At 41.0% G+C, this 19,734-nt stretch overlaps 1 long non-coding RNA gene across 1 annotated transcript, besides 5 other annotated features; it reads left to right on the plus strand.

Annotated features, from left to right (window-relative positions):
• Positions 1,186-1,525: an enhancer, noted in NCBI's record as "active region_4078". NCBI's record gives its function as "activates an Ori minimal core promoter by ATAC-STARR-seq in GM12878 lymphoblastoid cells {active_cell/tissue: GM12878}" and the evidence as "EXISTENCE:reporter gene assay evidence [ECO:0000049][PMID:35858748]".
• Positions 2,546-3,745: an enhancer, noted in NCBI's record as "P300/CBP strongly-dependent group 1 enhancer chr10:115785885-115787084 (GRCh37/hg19 assembly coordinates)". NCBI's record gives its function as "activates an origin of replication core promoter dependent on BRD2, BRD4, P300/CBP, MED14 and CDK7 cofactors, with strong dependence on P300/CBP, by STARR-seq in HCT116 cells {active_cell/tissue: HCT116}" and the evidence as "EXISTENCE:reporter gene assay evidence [ECO:0000049][PMID:35650434]".
• Positions 2,797-2,906: an enhancer, noted in NCBI's record as "active region_4079". NCBI's record gives its function as "activates an Ori minimal core promoter by ATAC-STARR-seq in GM12878 lymphoblastoid cells {active_cell/tissue: GM12878}" and the evidence as "EXISTENCE:reporter gene assay evidence [ECO:0000049][PMID:35858748]".
• Positions 3,177-3,226: a silencer, noted in NCBI's record as "silent region_2839". NCBI's record gives its function as "represses an Ori minimal core promoter by ATAC-STARR-seq in GM12878 lymphoblastoid cells {active_cell/tissue: GM12878}" and the evidence as "EXISTENCE:reporter gene assay evidence [ECO:0000049][PMID:35858748]".
• On the plus strand, positions 3,773-7,797 carry LOC105378493 (uncharacterized). The gene is made up of 3 exons (XR_946333.3): positions 3,773-4,031; positions 4,123-4,253; positions 7,247-7,797. It is a non-coding gene; the product is annotated as an uncharacterized LOC105378493 (long non-coding RNA).
• Positions 19,654-19,703: an enhancer, noted in NCBI's record as "active region_4080". NCBI's record gives its function as "activates an Ori minimal core promoter by ATAC-STARR-seq in GM12878 lymphoblastoid cells {active_cell/tissue: GM12878}" and the evidence as "EXISTENCE:reporter gene assay evidence [ECO:0000049][PMID:35858748]".

Here is a 19,734-nt window from a genome sequence, read left to right on the forward strand (position 1 = left end):
CGCCTCACATAAATTTTTTGGTGACAATGTGGATGATAAATGTTGGCTTTTATCGAGCTGACTACTGGTAGCTGTATGGTTTTGTGGCATATTATATAATGTGATATGCAATCACTGATGGAAAGATGTCTCTTAGAGATATAGCACTTATAACACAAATTTTTATGATAATAAATACTATTTATTAAGTATCAAATGCCAGGCACCTTGCAAGAATCCTACATACATTGGCTCATTCATTCCACATTATAGTCCTAGGAAGGAAGAAATGTCTTTTCCATTCTGCTGATGAAATAACCAAATATCAGAAGACATATAACTAGCAAGTGGCAAGTTAGGACTTATACCCAGATCCAGCCTCTGTTCCTTCTATTTCACCACATGGGTTATATTGTTTTCAGAAAAACATGTTTCTCTTGCTTATTTATTTTGCTTATTACACAGGACATTGTGGTACTGTTCATGAACTAAAAGCCATGCTCGGAGTGATTGTGGTTTTGAGAAAGAAAGAGAGAGAGAGATAGAAAGAGAAGGAAGGAAGGAAAGAAGGAGAGAAAGAAAGAAGAAAGAAAGAAAGAGAAAGAAAAGAAAGAAAGAAAGAAGGAAGGAAGGAAAGAAAGGAAAGAAAGAAAGAAAGAAAGAGAAAGAAAGAAAGAGAAAGAAAGAAAGAAAGAAAGAAAGAAAGAAAGAAAGAAAGAAAGAAAGAAAGAAAGAGTAGCTGTAGTCCCAGCTACTTGGGAGGCTGAGGCAGGAGAATGGTGTGAACCTGGGAGGCAGAGCTTGCAGTGAGCAGAGATCGCACGCCACTGCACTCCAGCCTGGGTGACAGTGCGAGACTCCATTTCACAAAAAAAAAAAAAAAAAAGAAAGAGAGAAAAAGGAAGGAAGGAAGAAAGAAAGAGAAAGAAAGAAAGAAAGAAAGAAAGAAAGAAAGAAAGAAAGAAAGACCAAATGTGTATATTTTCTTCAACTTCAGTACAATGTAGCTCCTCAAAAAAAAAAAATCCTTAATTTTTCAGTGCCGATTTCCACAACATGCATATTCACACGAACTCTGGCATGAGTCTTGTTGATTGCTTCCAGAGCAACATGCTTTGTCCCAAATTACAAGGAAACCACGAAACAATACTGCACAAGGCTGGAGGGATAGGACATCACCACACTTGAAAGTCACATTTGCCAATATTGGAGCATCTACAATGAGAACACAGGGCACTCGTACAGCCCCTGTGCTTGGTTTTTGCTTTATGGAGTTTGCAACCCAGTGGCAAACAGGAAGCTGGCAGCAGGAATCTGAAGGTCAAGAAGCTGCCTTTTTTTGGCATATATTCTCCCTCTCCACTTCTTTACAGCTAGTGCAGCCATGACCCTCTAAAGAACATGTCTGTTCTTGTCTCCGGGGTGTTGTGGTGATGTTGTGGTGATGTCGAGGTGCTGAGATGGCTTTGGGGCTCAGCCGAAGGTCAGCCTTTATCGAATTTCGCTTCATGGCCCAATAGGCACAGAGCTTGTGGTTTACACTCTATCTCTGTGAGCACCCAAGGCCAAAGCAGGCTGCCCAAGACGGAGAAGAGAAGAACACCCCATGGCCCAGCAGTTCAAGCCACCCAGGGCAGCCACCTCCATGGCAGGGACACTCCAGTGCCTCCCTCTTCACCTACCCCCACAACACACACACATGCCCCATGCACGTTCCTCCTGTCTCCCATCGGAGTCCCTATTCCCTTAGCCCCACATTTTCTTCAGTCATTCAGAAATGTTCATCTCAAAATGCAGCAAGTAATTTCTTCCTGATGAACTGCTCCTTCTCTACCCCACCCTGTAACCCCCGCCCTGAGGTAATTTCCTAATTCTCTTTGACAAGACAGTTTACTCTTGACAAGGATTAGAGGTTATTTTTAACCTAAACCGCACACAAGGAAATGATGCAATAATTTCTTTGAGCTGGCTGAATGCTTCCTCTTTTTTGGTCTTCGAATTAATATGATTCTGAACTTTAAGTTGTTTCTGGCCTTTTTGAGCAATTTCGTAATCACAGAATAAAGTCCACGTCTTCCAATTTAAAATCCTTGCTCGTAGTGATCTTTTCCTGAATGATTGGCATTTTTATCCAATGTAGACTCTGATGTTAAAAATCAGAATGATGTTGATTTACCAGAGGTTCTCCTGAAGATCTTTTGGATCCCAAGTGATCTCCTTTACTGTCTTTATCCCTCTCACAAAATCTGCTCAAATACTGGAAAAAAGATGATCAACTCTGCCACCTGGGGCCATCCAACTGTCCTCTGTTCCTCTGATTTCTTGACTAAGACATTCTGTGAAGCACACGTACATTCCTTTTTTTTTTTTTTTTCCGAGACGGAGTCTTGCTCTGTCACCCAGGCTGCAGTGCAGTGGCGTGATCTCAGCTCGCTACAACCTCTGCCTCCCAGGTTCAAGCAATTCTCCTGCCGCAGCCTCCTGACTAGCTGGGATTACAGGTACATGCAACCACGCCGAGCTAAATTTCTTTCTGTATTTTTTAGTACAGACGGGGTTTCACCACGTTGGCCAGGCTGGTCTCAAACTCCCGACCTCGTGATCCACCCGCCTCTGCCTCCCAAAGTGCTGGTATTACAGGCCTGAGCCACCATGCCCAGCCGCACATAAACATTTTTTAATCCATCACTTATTTTTAAAAAATATTTGTGTATTTAAGTCCATATGTCTATATCAGGGTTTCTCAACCTCAGCACTATTGACATTTGGGGCCAGATAATTCTTTGTGGGGCATCCTATGCATCATAGGATGTGGGGCAGTATCCCTGGCCTCTACTAACTAGATGCCAGTAGCAGCCCCCTCTCCAGTTTCAACACCTAAAAATGTCCCCAGACATGGCCAAATGTCTGCCAGGGAGACAAAAATGCCCCCAGTTGAGAAACACTGGCCCTCATACTGCTTTAAATGACAAGTTCCTTTTGGACAGGGACTAACCTAATTTGTACAGACTTCAGCACAACAGAAAGGTGCTTAGAGAAGGCAGTTCTATGGTGATCACAGTCAGTAAGCATGCAACAAGAATTGTTGACTCACATCTAGAAAAACAGAAAACGTAAGCACATGATCAAGTAAATAGTGGGTACTGTGTCTCATTCAGCCTTCCGTTCTTGTCAATAAGAGTAAAACAACAGTGCTTAGCTCTCCTGTGTGAACCTCCCAGAGGAACTGAAAATTTGAAAGATGGAGTTCATTTCCTTGTAATTAAACTGTTCCCATAAAATAAGGTAAGAGGCAGGTAAAGGGAAATCCCCCACAGCAGTGTGAATGGTTATAATCTTCATGGAGAAGAGCCCACGCTGGGATGCACATTCTTTCACAATTACTGTACTGTTCTTCCAGGCCGGGAATTCGGGGCGGCACCACATCCTCTTGCAGGATCTGCCCCTTGTAAAAGCACTTCAAATATTTTTCATGAGTGAAAAGTCAAAAGATAGATATGAACTGATATATCGTTAGAATTGCTGCTGTTATTCAACCACTCAAATAGTATTAAACCTCTGGATCTGGCAAACAAAACCTGCTAGATGATCCCTTTATAGGCCTCTCTCTAGGCAAAAGAACAAAACCTTTTATCAGTTAATCTAATGAATTACATGGGTTATTTTTATTCTATTCATAAGAGACAAGGCGTGTAAGTCTTGCTTGTTCTTACATCCATTGGATAACAATTCCATTAAGCAAATATTTATTTAAACTAAGGGTATGGCAGTCTAGCCTGACAGTTATCAGACATCAAAGTGGAAATGCTCAAATGAGTAAAAAATCAGGCTCTGCCCTTGGAGAACTTAGAGTTCTGATTTCTATAACAATTTGGTTGTGCATTTGTAGTCAATCCCCAAATATATTTGCTTTTGAGTACCTGAAAGCCTAATGCTTGCTGCAAGCTCTGGAAGAGGTTTTAAAAATCCAGTGATCATTCAAAGGCGTGAGCAACTCCAGGTGATGAAGTGACGGAGAAAGAGTTTACGGAGACATGGCTTTTGAAGTGAGGGTGGGTGTTCAAAACAACATGAATGATGAGGTTTTATTTCCCCCGATTTTAAAATTAATACATGTTTCTTGTTTTTAAAAAATATATGCAGGAAAAAAGAAAAGCCTGAGGAAAAGAAGATTTCTCGTAAGCAGTGGAAAAGTTGAGCAAAAATGCAGGACCTGGCCTGCTAGGGGTGACAGAACCTGTGGCGGACCCCGTGGAGCTACGGAGAAACATGAGGTGGGGGTCTGAATGCCAGATCTAATCAGGAGGGCAGTGGGCAGCCATGGATGGCTGAGTGTTCTGGGCATGGCTCATTTCATGCTCATAACAACCCTGTGAGGTTGCAAGGGGTCTGATCAACCTTCAGATGCAGAGGTGGAGGATTTAAGGTGTGCAGTAACTTGCCCAAGGTCATGCAGCTAGCAGATGGGAGGAGTGGGCACTCCAAAACCCCGTGCCCCTCAAACAAAGTGGGAATTGAGGGGGGCAAACCAAGGATTGCAAAGGTATAGCTGCAGAAAGTGTGCCTTTGACGCAATAGAATGGTGATGTCATGGATTTAAAAAATCCAGATCCAGAAAAAGGATCTGACTTGCTTTGTGGATAAAAGACTACTTTACAACCCAGAGACATCCACGTGGAGTAGGTGGCTCAGCAGTGCTCATTGGTGGAAGGCACTTTCATTGGCCTTCAGGTACCCAGCATGGCCTGCCACTGATAAGACACCACCTGAGTCAGGTCAGGATCCCTTTAGGTGATTTGAGCTGCTCTTTTTGTACTTTTCGAGGAGATTTTATGCAACTGGCCCATCCCAACTGTTCTGGACTGTCTGGTTTGAAAGCCAGCCTGCTCACCAGGGGAAGCCCCAGCCTATGTCTGAGTGCTTCAGTGCTACCTGGGAGGCTCCAGGATGGAGTCCCAGGCCTACCTCACCTGGGTAGACCCAGGCCTCACACCAAGAAAGAACCTTCCCACAATAGTCAAATGGTGGAAGGAACGCAAATGTCCATCAACTGATGAATGGATACACAAAATGTGCGTGTGTGTGTGTGTGTGTGTAATGCACTACTATTCAACCATGAAAAGGAATGGTGTACTGATTACTGATACATGCTACAATCTGGATGAACCTTGTAAACATTACGCTAAATGAATTATTTCATTTACACGAAACATCCAGAATAAGAAAATCCACAGACAGACTTGCTATTGGTAAAATATCAATGGATAACATCAAATTTACCATTAAAACCATCATTAAGTATACAATCAGTGGTGTTTAGGACATCCACAGGGTCATGCAACCATCACCACTTTCCAGAACATTCTCATCACCCCCAAAGGAAACCCCTCACCCACTGAGCATTCATTCCTCATTCCTTCCTTCCCCCAGCCCCTTGCAATGACTAATCTACTATCTCTATGGATGTGCTTATTCACTTTAAAATGGTGAGTTTTATGTTATTTGTAATTTACTGCATTAAAAAAATAAGCAATGGGATTGGATGAGGTGGATGAAGAAAAGGATCCCAGATTGAGGATTTGTGCACTCCAAGGTTTAGAGGCCAGCCAATAAAGAAGGTTCAAAAGAAGGAACTCATCAAATAGGAGGAAAACCAGGAAAGTTGCTGCCCCAGAACTCAAGTGAGAAACAGTTTCAAGGAGAGTAGAGTGACTATCTTTGTCAGAGTGAATTTTGTGTGGTTCAGGTAGATACAGTCATGTTCACCTACACAGGAGGGGACCATTTCACACTCTTGACCAGCAATGCATGAACAGGCTCAGCTCCCAACAATCTTGCCAATACAGTATCCTCAAAATGCTTGCCAATCTCAAAAGTGAGAAATGGATCTCAGTGTTGTTTTCTCTTGCAGTTCCTTTATTGAGAGTGACGCTGAGCATCTTTTCAAATGTTGAAGGGCCATTTATCTTCCTTTGGCTGTGAACTATCTGTTCATGGACTTTGCCCATTTTCTGTTGAGCTATTCATCTATTTATTTTTAATTTCTAGGAACACTTCAAATATCAGAGAGTTGGTTCTCTGTCCCCTGGCATCTGCTTCTTGAAACTCTTCTCTTTGTTTCCACAAGAGCACTCTCTCCTAGGTCTTCTCTCACCTCCCAGTATCTCACCTCCACATTTTGGAATTTTTTTTCTTTTGGGCGTGTGGGTTGCTCTTCTCCTTTGTACCTTTTAAGGCTGGTGTCCCCTGTCTTTGACTGTCTTTCTTCTCTACACACTCTTCAGCATCCTTCCCCTCCCACCTCTTCCTCCACCGCAATTCTAATTACAACTGTGTGCTCAACTACCAAACCTATATGGAACAGGATGTTAAAATAAGACTTTCTGACGTTGCAGTCTGAGCTGAGACCCCAAAGCTAAGAAAAGGAGTGTTAGGTGCCCACACATTCTAAAGAGAGGTGCTAGACCTTCCATGCAGACACCGCAGAGGGTGACCCAAAAAAAAAAAAACAACCCTGCCCAAGGACCCTATAGCCTCATCCTTAGAGTCTTAAAAGAGGCTTGGGTATTAATCCTGGAGTTCCTGCAGGGTAGAGTTGCAGGGGTGCCATGGCTCCTCCCAGCCACCCCCACACCAAGCAGGGGGCTTGAAAAGAATCTTTGGCGAGCCTGGCCTGTGTCTTATGATGTTGAGGGGACAGAGAGTTTCGTACCTGACTCACGCTTTAAAACCTGTGAAGGTGAGAAGCTGGGTTTGCTTCCTGGGCAGCAGAGGGGTGAGAAAGAGCCCAAGGGGAATGAGCACAGCTCCCAGCTATGCTGTTCCTGGAGGTGTGTCGTCCAGTGAACGATCATTTTCTGAGCTGGGCACAGTGGGTCACTCCTGTAACCCTAGCAACTCAGGAGGCTGAGGCTGGAGGATCACTTGAGGCCAGGAGTTTGAGACCAGCCTGCGTGACATAGCAACACCCTGTCTCTACAAAATAATAATAATAATAATACAAAAATTAGTTAAGCATGGTGCTGTGTGACTGTAGTTCCAGCTACTCAGGAGGCTAAGATGGGATAATTGTGGTTGAGGCTGCAATGAGCCAAGGTCGCACCACTGCACTCCAGCCTGAGCACCAGAGGGAGACCCCGTCTCAAAAAAAAAAAAAAAAAAAAAAAAAAAAAAAAAAAACAAACAAACAAACAAAACCTCTTGGTCACAAAAATTTGGAACAAAAAATCTTGAAGGTACTAAAAGGACATAATTGGTGATTTTGCAGGAAGCTGAGAAGCAGACTCCTTGACATGGCAACAGTAGAAATGAGGAGATGCCAAAGAGACAGAATCTGGTAACTCTTGAAGAGCCAGCCTGTAAGTGTTCATGGACAACATCCTTATAAATGAAGTTTTTGCAAAAGATAGGCATAGACAAAAATTCATGTGGTGCCGTGGGACAGGATTCACTGAAGATTTTTAATATCAGTTGAATTTGGATCTTAGTTTCAAATAAGTAAGCTGTTTCAAATAAGGAGAAAATAAAATGAGGTCTTCTTTTTGATGACAAGCTCTGACTTTGGAATCACACAGACCTGGGCTGGGAGTCGTGCTCCGCCGTTTGCTAGGTTGTGACACATTGGATAAATCGCTCAACTTCTGTAAGCCTCAATTTCCTCCTTTAGAAAGTAAAAATAATATCTGACAAGACTATTACAAGAATTACATGAGATGTTGTGAACAACGCCCTTCACACAGGGTCTGGTGCTTAGTCATTGGTTGTAAAAGAGAATGTGACATTGATCTATGTCTCCATTAAATGGTGTAGGAAAGAATACATATTGTCCTATGAGTCCATTCAAGTTTTTAATTTTGGTCATTTGGTTTGTTGCTTTCTGGTGAATGCTACCTACCTTCATCAAATCATTATGAAGTTTCCAGAGCAAATTCTCTGTAATGTATTCTAAAGAAAATTGAGAGAAAAATAAAGCAAACTGAAGTATGGAAACACAGCTTGGGAGTTCAGAAAAACTATTTGCTCATCATACATTAAGTTAAAAATACAGTTGCACAAACAGATGACTAAATAATACTCAGACCCACAGATTTCAGCTTTTAAGTGCCATCTTACATAAGATTGTTCAACTGAACTAGCCTAGCCATTAAAAAAACTTAGATATGGCATTTTTAAAATAGAGACTCACATACAGCACATCTAAATCTATGCTGTTTATATAACACGAAGATAGCAGATATATCTGTAAGGAGGTGTTGGCATCACAGAGAATGACATACTATGTTACAGTGATTCTTGGATTTTTCCTATGTGTTAAGCCTGGACTTCTGATTCCAAATTCAGCTCCTACAGCAGAGGTACCCAGGGAAGTCTTGAGCCATATTAATATTAAGTGGCAAGATAAGGCATCAGTGTGAGTTCTTGAAACTTAACCAGGTAAAGATCTTTGGGTTTTGTTTACTGGCACAAAACAGGTACATTTGGTCTACAGCCCATGCACAAGTTAAAATATTATTAGCTCTGTTCTCAGTATCATAAACGATAATTAGTATACAATCTAGGACACATAAAATTCGGATGTCCATAAAATATTGTTAGCTCCGTCATCAGTATCATAAAGGATAATTAGTATACAATTTAGGACAATTAGGACAATAGACAAATGTATAATTAGTATACAATTTAGTATAAAATTTGGATGTCCACAACCTTCACATTCCATAATCAATCAAAATCAATATTCCGAGCAGAGCTATTTCTTAGTCAAACCTCTGATAGCCAGTATTTTAGGATCTGAAGCACTATTCCAATCAAAATCACTACTTCAAGGTCACAAAAATCCTGTTTTTCAATGGATTCTATATGAGGACCTGGTTTTATCTTGCCTCAAAGGCCAGCTTTGTTCTGTGGTTATAAAGGTTTGCTGTATCTCTCCTACCCAGTTATCTGCTGTCTTTTACACTGATTCCAGCTTGGGCAAAACAACAGGCATGTTGCAGCTGTAGAAACAGATTCTGAGTGTGACTACACGATATCAAAATATCCTGCTGAAAAGTGGTCTACACACTCAACCAACTGGATTGGCTTATTTTTCTCCTCAAATCCAAATTATTAAGGCAAACCTGGATTTTTCTACTCCATTTGTAAGAAAACACAATTGAGTTTCCTGATTTGTAATGAAAGCTATAACAGAACAGTACATTCACCACTGTCTTAAATACGTACCTAGTAGGAATATGCCTTACACTTCCCCTGCCCTCCTCGTTGCTAAGATCTACACAGAACATATGGGAACTTGATCTGCCAACAATCAGCTTGAGGTATTCGTGACTTTGTAACAGACTGAAACCCAGTAACAAAGTGGACTGTTTCCACCAGGGCCTGGATACCATTTATTTGGGGAGCCACCTTTAGTGTGAGAGACAAGAAGTTGTTCTGTTTGCTCTCTGTGCTGGAAGTCTTGTAACAATCGTGGCATGCGTGAGATTACAGATGACTCAAGATTGTGCAGAAGGAGGCAGCTTTCTTACAGATAGTAACACTTTGTTATAGGTTAAAATGCATCCCTACCCCCCACCAAAAAAAAGATATGTTGGAGTCCTAACCCCTAGTATTTCAAAATGTGACCTCAGTTGGAGATTGGGTCTTTACAGAGGTAATCAAGTTAAAATGAGGTCATTAGCATAGGCCATGACCCAATATGACTGATGTCCTTATCCAAAGAAGAAATTTGGACAGGCACACAGACAAGCTTGGGGAAAAGACAGCCATGTACAAGCCAAGGAGAGAGGAATGGAACAGATCCTTCCCTCACAGCCCTCAGAAGGAAACAATTCTGCCTACAACTTGAGGATGGACTTCTAGCAAACGAACTCACACCTCACTGATCCAGCACCATTGCAGAATGAAAAGTCCATATAAATTCACTTTCTAGATAACTCAAGTGTTCTGACAAATAAGCAGTTCCAAAATTTTCGTTCTACTCTTTTTTAACAAAAATATTTCTAAAACACACCCTCCACATTCTCAAACCAAAGGCAGCTGAACCCAATCTAAACCTTTCCTATTGATGCAGGTTTATCAGTGACTGCAGAGGGACAGAAGACCCTTTGTTTCTGCAGTAAGTGGCATCACTGGTTTCCCTGTTTTCTCCTCTAATACGAAGTTCCCAGACAGCCCCCTCTGCCTTCTGCATCATCCTCATTTCCTTGCTTGTCCTAATCTGTTGTGAAAGAACAGAAACCGGACAAACAAGACATTAAAACTGGTTCTCAAATAAAATTAGTAGTCCCAAGTGAGAGGCTGAAAGACACTCCTAAAGGTTAAACCACGTGAACTTGAAAAACTTCTTTTGTTGTCTATTCCTTTACTCCCTGTTCTCAGGGGGTGAGGATGTCAGATCCCTTATATTAAGGATACCTCAAGTGTTGTGCTACACAGACACAAAGCAGGTCACAAGAAACTCTTCTGGACTCCTTCGGCTTATAAATTTATGCCATAAAAACAAACAGCTGGGATCAATTATAGCTCGGGAAATATGCACCTCTATTAGGAGCCCAGTGGTGCTTTGTTCTGTGGTGGTTGTTATTTCACATATTTGGAATATGGCTATACCATAGGATGGAACTCTCTGGAATGGTCTTTCCATGATACCAAATTAGTTTGGGAAATTCTAATTCCCCAAACGGAATGATAATCAGATTAAATGACTACAAAGGAATAAACTTGCTGTTGAAATCAAAAGTGTGCTTACCAAATTAGATTCTTTACTACATCCTCTCACTTTTAAAGATAACGAATTTATTCAATTACTCTATTTGTACTGATTGGAAGCTGCCTCTTTTGCCATGCTTAGTTTGGTACAGAACATTTTTTGGCTTTATGCTATAATCTTGTTGTTGTTGCTGTTGTTTAAAAAACAATGGTAAGATAAAAGCTAATGTTTAGTAAGTACTGTGCTTACGATGAGCCAAGCACTATGCCAAATGCCTTATATGCCTTATTAAGTTTCCCAAATGCCTCAGAGGTACATATGATTTTTACTGTTCCCATTTAACAGGTAACAAAATGGAGGCCTAATGTGTTTGAGTAACTTGTCTGAGTCATTCAGTTACTAATTGGCAGCACCCGGATTTGAACCCAGGCAGTCTGACTCCAGAGCCTGTGTTCTGGAATCATTGTGGTATACGAAGAGAGGTAAACTTTAACACTACTAAAATTAGTGTGATCTTGCTAAAATATCATAATTTGAAATTATGTAATAAAAAACCTCCAGGCCAGGCACAATGACTCACTCCTGTAATCCCAGCACTTTGGAAGGCTGGGGCAGGCAGATCACTTGAGGTCAGGAGTTGGAGACCAGCTTGGCCAACACGGTGAAGCCCTGTCTCTACCAAAAATACAAAAATTAGCCAGCCGTGGTGGTGCCTGCCTGTATCCCAGCTACTCAGGAGGCTGAGGCATGAGAATCGCTTGAACCCAGGAGGTGGAGGTTGCAGTGACCCCAGATTGCACCACTCCACTCCAGCCTGGGCGACACAGTGAGACTGTCTCAAAAAAAAAAAAAGAAAAAGAAAAAAGGAAAACCGAAAACGAAAATGTGTAGGCCAGGGATGTTTTTTTAACTCTTCCACCAAGACTGAGTACTTTACTGACGACTTTTTTTGCAAGGTTAATTATGAGTTTTGAACTTGCTTAATAAACTTTTATGCTAAGTTGTTTCTCAGATGAGTACTTACTAAAACTCTACAATATGTAGAGAATATATGTGTGGGCATTTTTTACACCAAGATCATTCTCCTTAAGCTCGAGCCATGAAAGGGTATATAATCTCCATTAATTAGTAAGGGGGAAAACATCAAAAAATGCGTGCTGCGGAGTGGTTGGCAGTAGGAGAGAAGGAAAGGTAGGCAGTGGGTGGGAACGGTGACAAGTCATAATACAATAATCACTTTAGAGGTTTTCAGAATCAGTAAAAAAAAATGTTCAGGACTATGCCAATACCATTTTAGCTCATTTTCAAGGCTTATTAGGCTTCTCAGAGAATCTCAAAGCTCAACGTGCATATTACTTAACTACCTGGTTTGGAATGATACTTATTAGGACGTGGAAATGACAAAGTAGGTAGATTTTGCTTTTTACTTTTCTGTTCTGAACTTCCCAATAGCTCTATTTCAGCTCCTAAATAAAGTCCCCCAAGGTTGTCACAACTTTTGAGCCTGTGATTCTCAGTAAGAGTCTTCTGTGAAGTCTTTTTCCAGTTACAGATGAAAACAAAACAAAACAAAGAACTAAATGACTTAATTGCTTGGCTTTTCTTTGGGATTCCTTTGTCTTCAGAGCTAGTATCCATGCGGCGCTTTTAGACATTCACGCTAAAATGTATCAACAATGAGAATTTCATTTGTGTAGATAAATGTGATTGTCATGTCAGATCTTTTATATTTAAGCCAACTGAAAAATACAAATAAACATTGCGTGATAGAATTGCTTCATTTGTTCAGTTGTTTATTTTAAAAAGTACTCCATGACTAGCTCCAAGTCCCAAATATATCACGCAATTAAATTATGCTGAAAGTAGTAATAGGTGGGCCCATATCTGTTAAGGATGCAAATGTTCTAGCAATTAAAGACTAGCTAAGGAGGCAAGAAAGTCAAGAACTCTCTTTCACTTTCCGTGAACTCTCACACACGTCTCTGTCCTTATGCTTCAGTTTTTCCATCTTAAAATAGGGAGAAAAGGACAATATTTCTCCACTAGTATGAAAGCAATTTATATTTAGGAGAAGTTTACAAAGAAGGTTATTGCCCCCTTAATATCTAATTAGGAGATAATGTCCTGGAAATAAAGAGCTATCATAGGATAAAGGTCTCCAACAGGTCTTACTCAAGGAGCGACAAAACTGAGACACTGTGGAAAATAAACATCATGTCAATGGTTTGATATTTATTTATTTATTTTTATTTTTATTTTTATTTTTTTTTGAGATGGAGTCTCGCTCTGTTGCCCTGGCTGGAGTGCAGTGGCGTGGTCTCCACCCACTGCAAGCTCTGCCTCCCGGGTTCACGCCATTCTCCTGCCTCAGCCTCCCGAGTAGCTGGGACTGCAGACGCCCGACACCACGCCCGGCTAATTTTTTGTATTTTTAGTAGAGACGGGGTTTCACCGTGTTAGCCAGGATGGTCTCGATCTCCTGACCTCGTGATCCACCCGCCTCGGCCTCCCAAAGTGCTGGGGTTACAGGCATGAGCCACCGCACACGGCCTTGATATTTATTTTTAAAGCAAGAAGCCTGACCACAGTGGTTACCAAAACCAAAGCAGCAGCAATACTGTCTTACTAGCGTCTTCCTTTCTGAGGCAAAGGACTTGGCATGCCTCCACTTATTGAGTGGGTCTAGGTGGGCTTTTTTTTTTTTTTTTTTTTTTTTTTTGAGACGGAGTCTCCCTCTGTCGCCCAGACTGGAGTGCAGTGGCGCAATCTCGGCTCACTGCAAGCTCCGCCTCCCGGGTTCACACAATTCTCCTGCCTCAGCCTCCAGAGAAGCTGGGACTACAGGCGCCCGCCACCACGCCCGGCCAATTTTTTTTTTTTTTTTTTTTTTTGTATATTTAGTAGAGACGGGGTTTCGCCGTGTTAGCCAGGATGGTCTCGATCTCCTGATCTCGTGATCCACCCGCCTGGGCCTCCCCAAGTGCTGGGATTACAGGCGTGAGTCACCGCACCCAGCCGGTGGGCATTTTTACGGTACATAAATAATGAGTAAGTTAACTACAAAAATATCTATACAATACAAAGAAGTGGAAAAACATATGAAAGAAGATACCTGTTTGGTTTACTCAAAGTAGTGAATGAAAAGAGTGAAAAGAAAGAAATGTAAATGATTTGATCTGGCAAAGCAGACCAGTGTCTTCCACTGATCCCTTTTGGCAATTCCATTCAGTTGGATGGCCCAGATGCCATCTTCCATGGCCAAATGGAAAATACAATGTCTTATTTTATTGTGGAAAATCCACTGGAAATAACCTTTTAAGTGGTTCTTCTATTACACAGGAATTTAGTAAGTATTGTATCTACTATAAGGCCAGAATAAAAGGGGGCTAAAATATTTAAAGGTATCATTCCTACTCTTCAGAAACTTACAACAAGGGTTTTGGGGTTCTTGTTGCTATTAACTTCTCAGTTTCTTACAACACAATTATTTTGTCTGAAACACAATAAAGTTCTGTGTTACTGTTAAAATAAAACCTAGAGTTTTCAATAATCATCCCAGCTTGTTGTCATCACAAGCTCTGGACTGGGACAAACTTAAAGGACAACTCAGCCAATAGCTTATCATGTATAATGCTCATATTCCTATTACCATCAGTACTTTAAGGTAAGATTTCACTTGATAAGCAATCAATTTTTATTCATTATATAACTGAATTAGAACAGAATTTTTGGTTTATGTTGGTTTAAGTCTTGTATATTAAGACTTGTATTTAAGTCCTTTCTTTCTTCTTTAAGTTACTAGTCATGGCACTAAATAGTTAACTTGAGGGAAAAAAACCATTCTCTGCTCTGAATATTCTGCTACTAAAATACTGAAAAGGAGCTGATTTAAGAGAATCACATAAATACTTTTTTTTTAAAAAAAGAAGAGGGTACATACTAAGGAAGAACAGAAAAAAAGGGGAAAAACTTTTGTAAAGGTAATTTGCTAAAAGTATTTAAAAATAGTTCACGGTTATCCAGGCTCTAAACCCTATTAATATCTAGAGTGAAAAAGAAAGGAGTCAAGCGGATAAACAGAAGCTTATCTAAGTGAACTGATTCTTCTCATACAAGCAAATCCTGACCCCTTTCATGGTTTTCAATGTCATGATGATCGGAAAAGACAGCGTTTGTTGCTTTATAAATATATGGAGCTGTACGTGATTTCAAGAAGCTTTCACATACATTATCTCATTTAATTCCCACACAACCCTGTAAGGGAGCAAATGGTGAGTCCACTTTAAAGGTGAATATCAAAGGTCAAACAGAAAAGCAACAAAGCCGGGACATAAACCTGGACCTTTTACCTCCCAGGTCTGAACACTTTGCAAAACAGCCACATTTTGAAAAATATTATTATTGGCTCTAGCATTGTTCAATGTGCTTGTTAGAAACACAAGGAAGAAGAGGAGGAGAAAAGGGAGGAGGAGGAGGTAAGTGTGGGAGGAGGACGAGGATGGGGAGAGAGGAAAGCTTTTGAATTTTCCTAATAGTCCACACTTTGCTATGATTATGCTACTATTCTCTGTGCTTGTTTTCAAGATGGCTGGAGTTGGTCATCCCTGTGTAAATTGTGGCTACAAAACCAGTATCTGACCCTAAGTGTCAGGCGTGTTCTTTGGTTAGTTAGCACTGAGTGATTGTTTCAGCAGTTGTGTTGCTTTATGTGAAAGGTCATACATCTTTTCTGAGAAACAGCCACCTAAGCTCTGACTAACAAATCCTTTGGTTTATTATAGCTTGATTTCAAATAGCTTCAGGCTATTATCAGCCTCAAGGCACATTTTGCTAACAGATTTCGTACACTTCTTGGGGTTTTATTAAGAAATTCCCCCACATATCCCTTGGCGTATCTTCCAGCAGTTGTCCAGTTAGGCTACTCACTTTTATTTTTAACTCATTTTCTAGTAAAGTCAACTCAAGAATGTAAATGTCTTTGCCAGGCTCATGGCTTGCAACCTTGGATGGGTTAGATGCCTATTCATCACTGCTCTGCAGACTAATTTGATATACAACTTGAAACCACATTCAAGTCATCAGCAACTCTCCTGGGGCAGAAATGGCTGGATATATAGATTCGGTATCATAAATAATGGCTAAAGAAAAAGACTCTTCACCTGGGTCATTTATGAAGAATAGGTAGTACTTTTTTCTTTTCTTTTCTTTTCTTTTCTTTTCTTTTTTTTTTTTTTTTGAGTTAGGGTCTCACTCTGTCACCCAGGCTGGAGTGCAGTGGCACAACCACATTTCACTGCAGCCTCAACTCCTGGGCTCAAGTGATCCTCCTGACTCAGCCTCCCAAAGTGTTGGGATTACAGGCAGGAGCCACTGAGCCTGGCCAGGTAGTATTTTTTATGGACGTGGACTTGCATGTCTCCTTTGGAAAATCTCTTACCTATGTCTCGTTTTATTTACTACGAATAGGTATGATATACATTTATCTCATGAGCCTACCTTGCTTTTGTAAAGTATTTTGAAATGTTTATGTGAAAATGTTGAATAGGTGGTAAGAATATGGATTATTGCTGTAAATTATAAGCAAGAGTGAAGATTGTAACTACTAAAACACTCAATTATGTCTCAAGTGTATAAAAATGAGAATATTTTAATAAATTAAATATCATATATTTATGAATCAAAGCTAAATGTTCATTAATATCAAGTAAATATCAGTAAACATGGGAGATATAAAAATGTATGAGACAATTCTGGCTCTCAGTGAGCTTACAATCTATAAGAGAAGAAAAGGGGAAAATATAAAAATTAAATAACAACATAAGAAGTATCAAAAGGCAACCTATTGTAAATTGCCACCTGAAATGAAATTGGCAGAGTCACTACTATAGGTCAGAGGAAGGAGAGATCATTTTCAGAAGCAGTGGGCAGAGAAGATAAAGAGTCCAGCCACATCTCCAAGGCTGAATTCGCTGGGAAGCAGGAGGAGGTTTTGGTGGAGGGAACCCAGTGAGAAAGTATAGATGTACAAAAGGAAGGAGTATGGATCCCCAAAAGGAAAAAGAATACAGAAATGCAAGTTATGGTGATAAGGAGAGTTCTAATATGAAATAGGGCTGGAAAGGCCATTTAGAATTGGACCGGGGAGAACTGTGAATGTTAAATTGAAGAGGTAAGGTTGCTGAACAGAAAAGCATCTTGGTCAAAGCAGCATTTTGGAAATACTCCTTTGGTTATGATATGCCAGATTAAATGGAGCAGGGAGGACCAGAGACAGGGAGATCAAATAGAACCCATGGCAAGTCCCGGTGTGGGGTGAAGGTGGGGGGATGGGAAAGGAAGAAGTTGAGATAGGAACTCTGTGGAAGAAGTGCACGACCTCTCAAGTGTGCTGATCAGCCCTCATTGTTGGAGCTTTCTGTCATTTTCCAAAGCATTGTGAAATATATGGGTTTTTAGAACTGACTCTCTTTAACAGTTGCCAAGTGAAGAATGAAGAAATGAAGGAGTTTTATTTAACTTACAATATCCGATACCTGTAAAAGTTGATACGTTGAACCTTTTCTTCTTGATCTTGTATCCTTACCTAAGAATAAAAAGTGTTAGGCTAAAAAAAAAGTTAAAAAAAAAAAACACCAATCATAAAATGTAGGAATTAAAGGAGTTCTGAGAACATTTTATTTTTATTAGACAACCAACTCTAGTTGAACATGTACTATTCCAAACTCTTCTGTCAGTAAAATTGAAGGAAATCCCCCAGAATTCCTGAGATCCCTGTACTGGTACTCCTGCTAGAATAACCTTCTGGTTTCGAGGGTTTATAATTTAATGTATTATACAGAAATTCGGAGAAACTTGATGTATCTCTGAATGAGCAGAGAAAAAAAGTTTCAGGAAAGTTTTCCAACAATTCCAATGTCACGATGTGTTTATATATATAATGATGATACGGCAAAGTTACTGGCAATCTGGCTTCTGCCCTGAACCTCTACGACCAAGTTCTGGCCTTATCGCACACAGAAAAGCAATGCCTTCCACCCTTCGGGGGCATTTAAGGTTGACACACTCTATTCCGGTAACACCACTTGACAGAAAGATGGCAAGGAAAAGCCTCTTCCCCACATTCCCTATGCCTCACCCTGCAGCTCAGCACTCAGAACTCCTTTCCTGGGCAGCGTCAATTTCAACTTCTTCCAATCCCTTGGCTATTTTGAGACTGCCCCTTGTGGGTCCAGAAGGAAGCCAGGAGGCCGGGGACAGTGGCTCATGCCTCTAATCCCAGCACTTTGGGAGGCCAAGGTGGGTGGATCACCTGAGGTCAGGAGTTCGAGACCAGCCTGACCAACATGGTAAAACGCCATCTCCACTAAAAATACAAAATTAGCCGTGTGTGGCGGCACACGCCTGTAATCCCAGCTACTTGACAGGCTGAGGCAGGAGAATCACTTGAACCCGGGAGGCAGAGGTTGCAGTGGGCCAAGATCACGCCACTGAACTCCAGCCTGGGCAACAAAAGTGAAACTCTGTCTCAAAAAAATAAAAAGAAAGAAGCCAGGAGTCTCAGGCTTTCAGTGACTTGGATAACTTGGGGTGTAGTCTCCTTCCTCCCCTTTCTAACGCCTCTTGTTTCCTGGCCACTCCTCCTCAACCTCCCCAAGTTGGAAAATCAGCTGATAAATCATGGGCAGGGGGTGAATAAACAAATCACTCCCCAGTTTTAACATACTGATGCTGAGGTTTGGGCCTAAAGCAAATTCATATGTTTGCATTTATGTAAGAGAAAGTGGTTAAAACTGCTTGATTTTATATAAACTTGAAAAACATTACTTTTTGCTTTTGACCTGGACAGCTGTGGAAGTCGGTCTCTCCTTGCAAGGTAAGGATATGAGCTTGGTCATATTGATGACCATCAACGAACATGATGTTCGTTACGGGCGCTGTTCTTATTCCAATGCTAGAAGGACCTGTGAGCATTATATAACATTTTCATGCACCCTTACATAAACAATTAGAAGCTGTTTACTCCTCAAGGACTCAATTAGAGATTTTTTTAATTTTTTTATTTTTTTTTTTATTTCAGGCCTGAGCTGAGGACACTACAGGAGCCAAATTAGAGAAGGGGCTTGCAGTCCTGCCATATTGCATATTCATGGCTTTCTTGTCCCCTCACCCCCAGTATAATCCTTTTTGCCAGGTTAACAACTCACTAATTTCAAAGCAATTCATTTGCCAACTCAAAAAAAAAAAAAAAAAAAACCACAGATACAACTTTAAATGCTTTTGGATTTTAATCCTCTGGAGTATTTATATGTTTTCTTGTCTCATCCCTTCAAAACTAATCTCAGAGTTTTGAGAATCTGGGAACTTGGGCAAAGGAGAAAACAAGCACGCAGACCAAGGAATCTGAAATCGCAGTTCATTACGTCAGCATAAACTGACAGTACCTTTTTGTTTGTATTGACCCAGCTCAAATTATAAAATCACATGAGTAATAAAACACAAAATACAGGTGTTATCATTGAAAAGTCTAAAATGTAATTAAACGCGTTTTTTCCCCCTCGCGGTGGTATCGTTTACTCTGTATCTCAACGTTTCTGTCTCCCTAAGCCTCTCCTTTCATATCATGAGCATACATTTTTGCATCATGCTCACACGTTCATTAGCTAGGACTGAGGAGTGTGTACGATTCCAAAGGGCCCTCAGCGTTAGCTGTTAGATGCACAAACCTTCGCTTCCTTTCCACATCTACTGCACTCGAGGTTCAACAGAGGATCCTTGCAAGAACAGCGCCCAGAGAGCATTCTTGACAGATGCGCGCTTGGCTCCAGCAACCCGCTCTGCTGGGAAGTTTCTTCTAACCACTAACACCCACCTCCAATCCCCCAAGCTGTCACGACGCATGCTGGCTGGGTCCCGTCTTGACGGGGGAAGGGTTTTACACACACCCTGCTAGGCTGCCCCACATCACAACCAAGCTCGCAGGGCAAACTCCTCCAAGCCTGGCGGACAAGCTGTCCCAGGCGCTCTGGCGCTTCCTGAACACCAAG

The sequence above is a fragment of the Homo sapiens genome, chromosome 10 (assembly GCF_000001405.40).
Source record: "Homo sapiens chromosome 10, GRCh38.p14 Primary Assembly".
NCBI classification, from domain to species: Eukaryota; Metazoa; Chordata; class Mammalia; order Primates; family Hominidae; genus Homo; species Homo sapiens.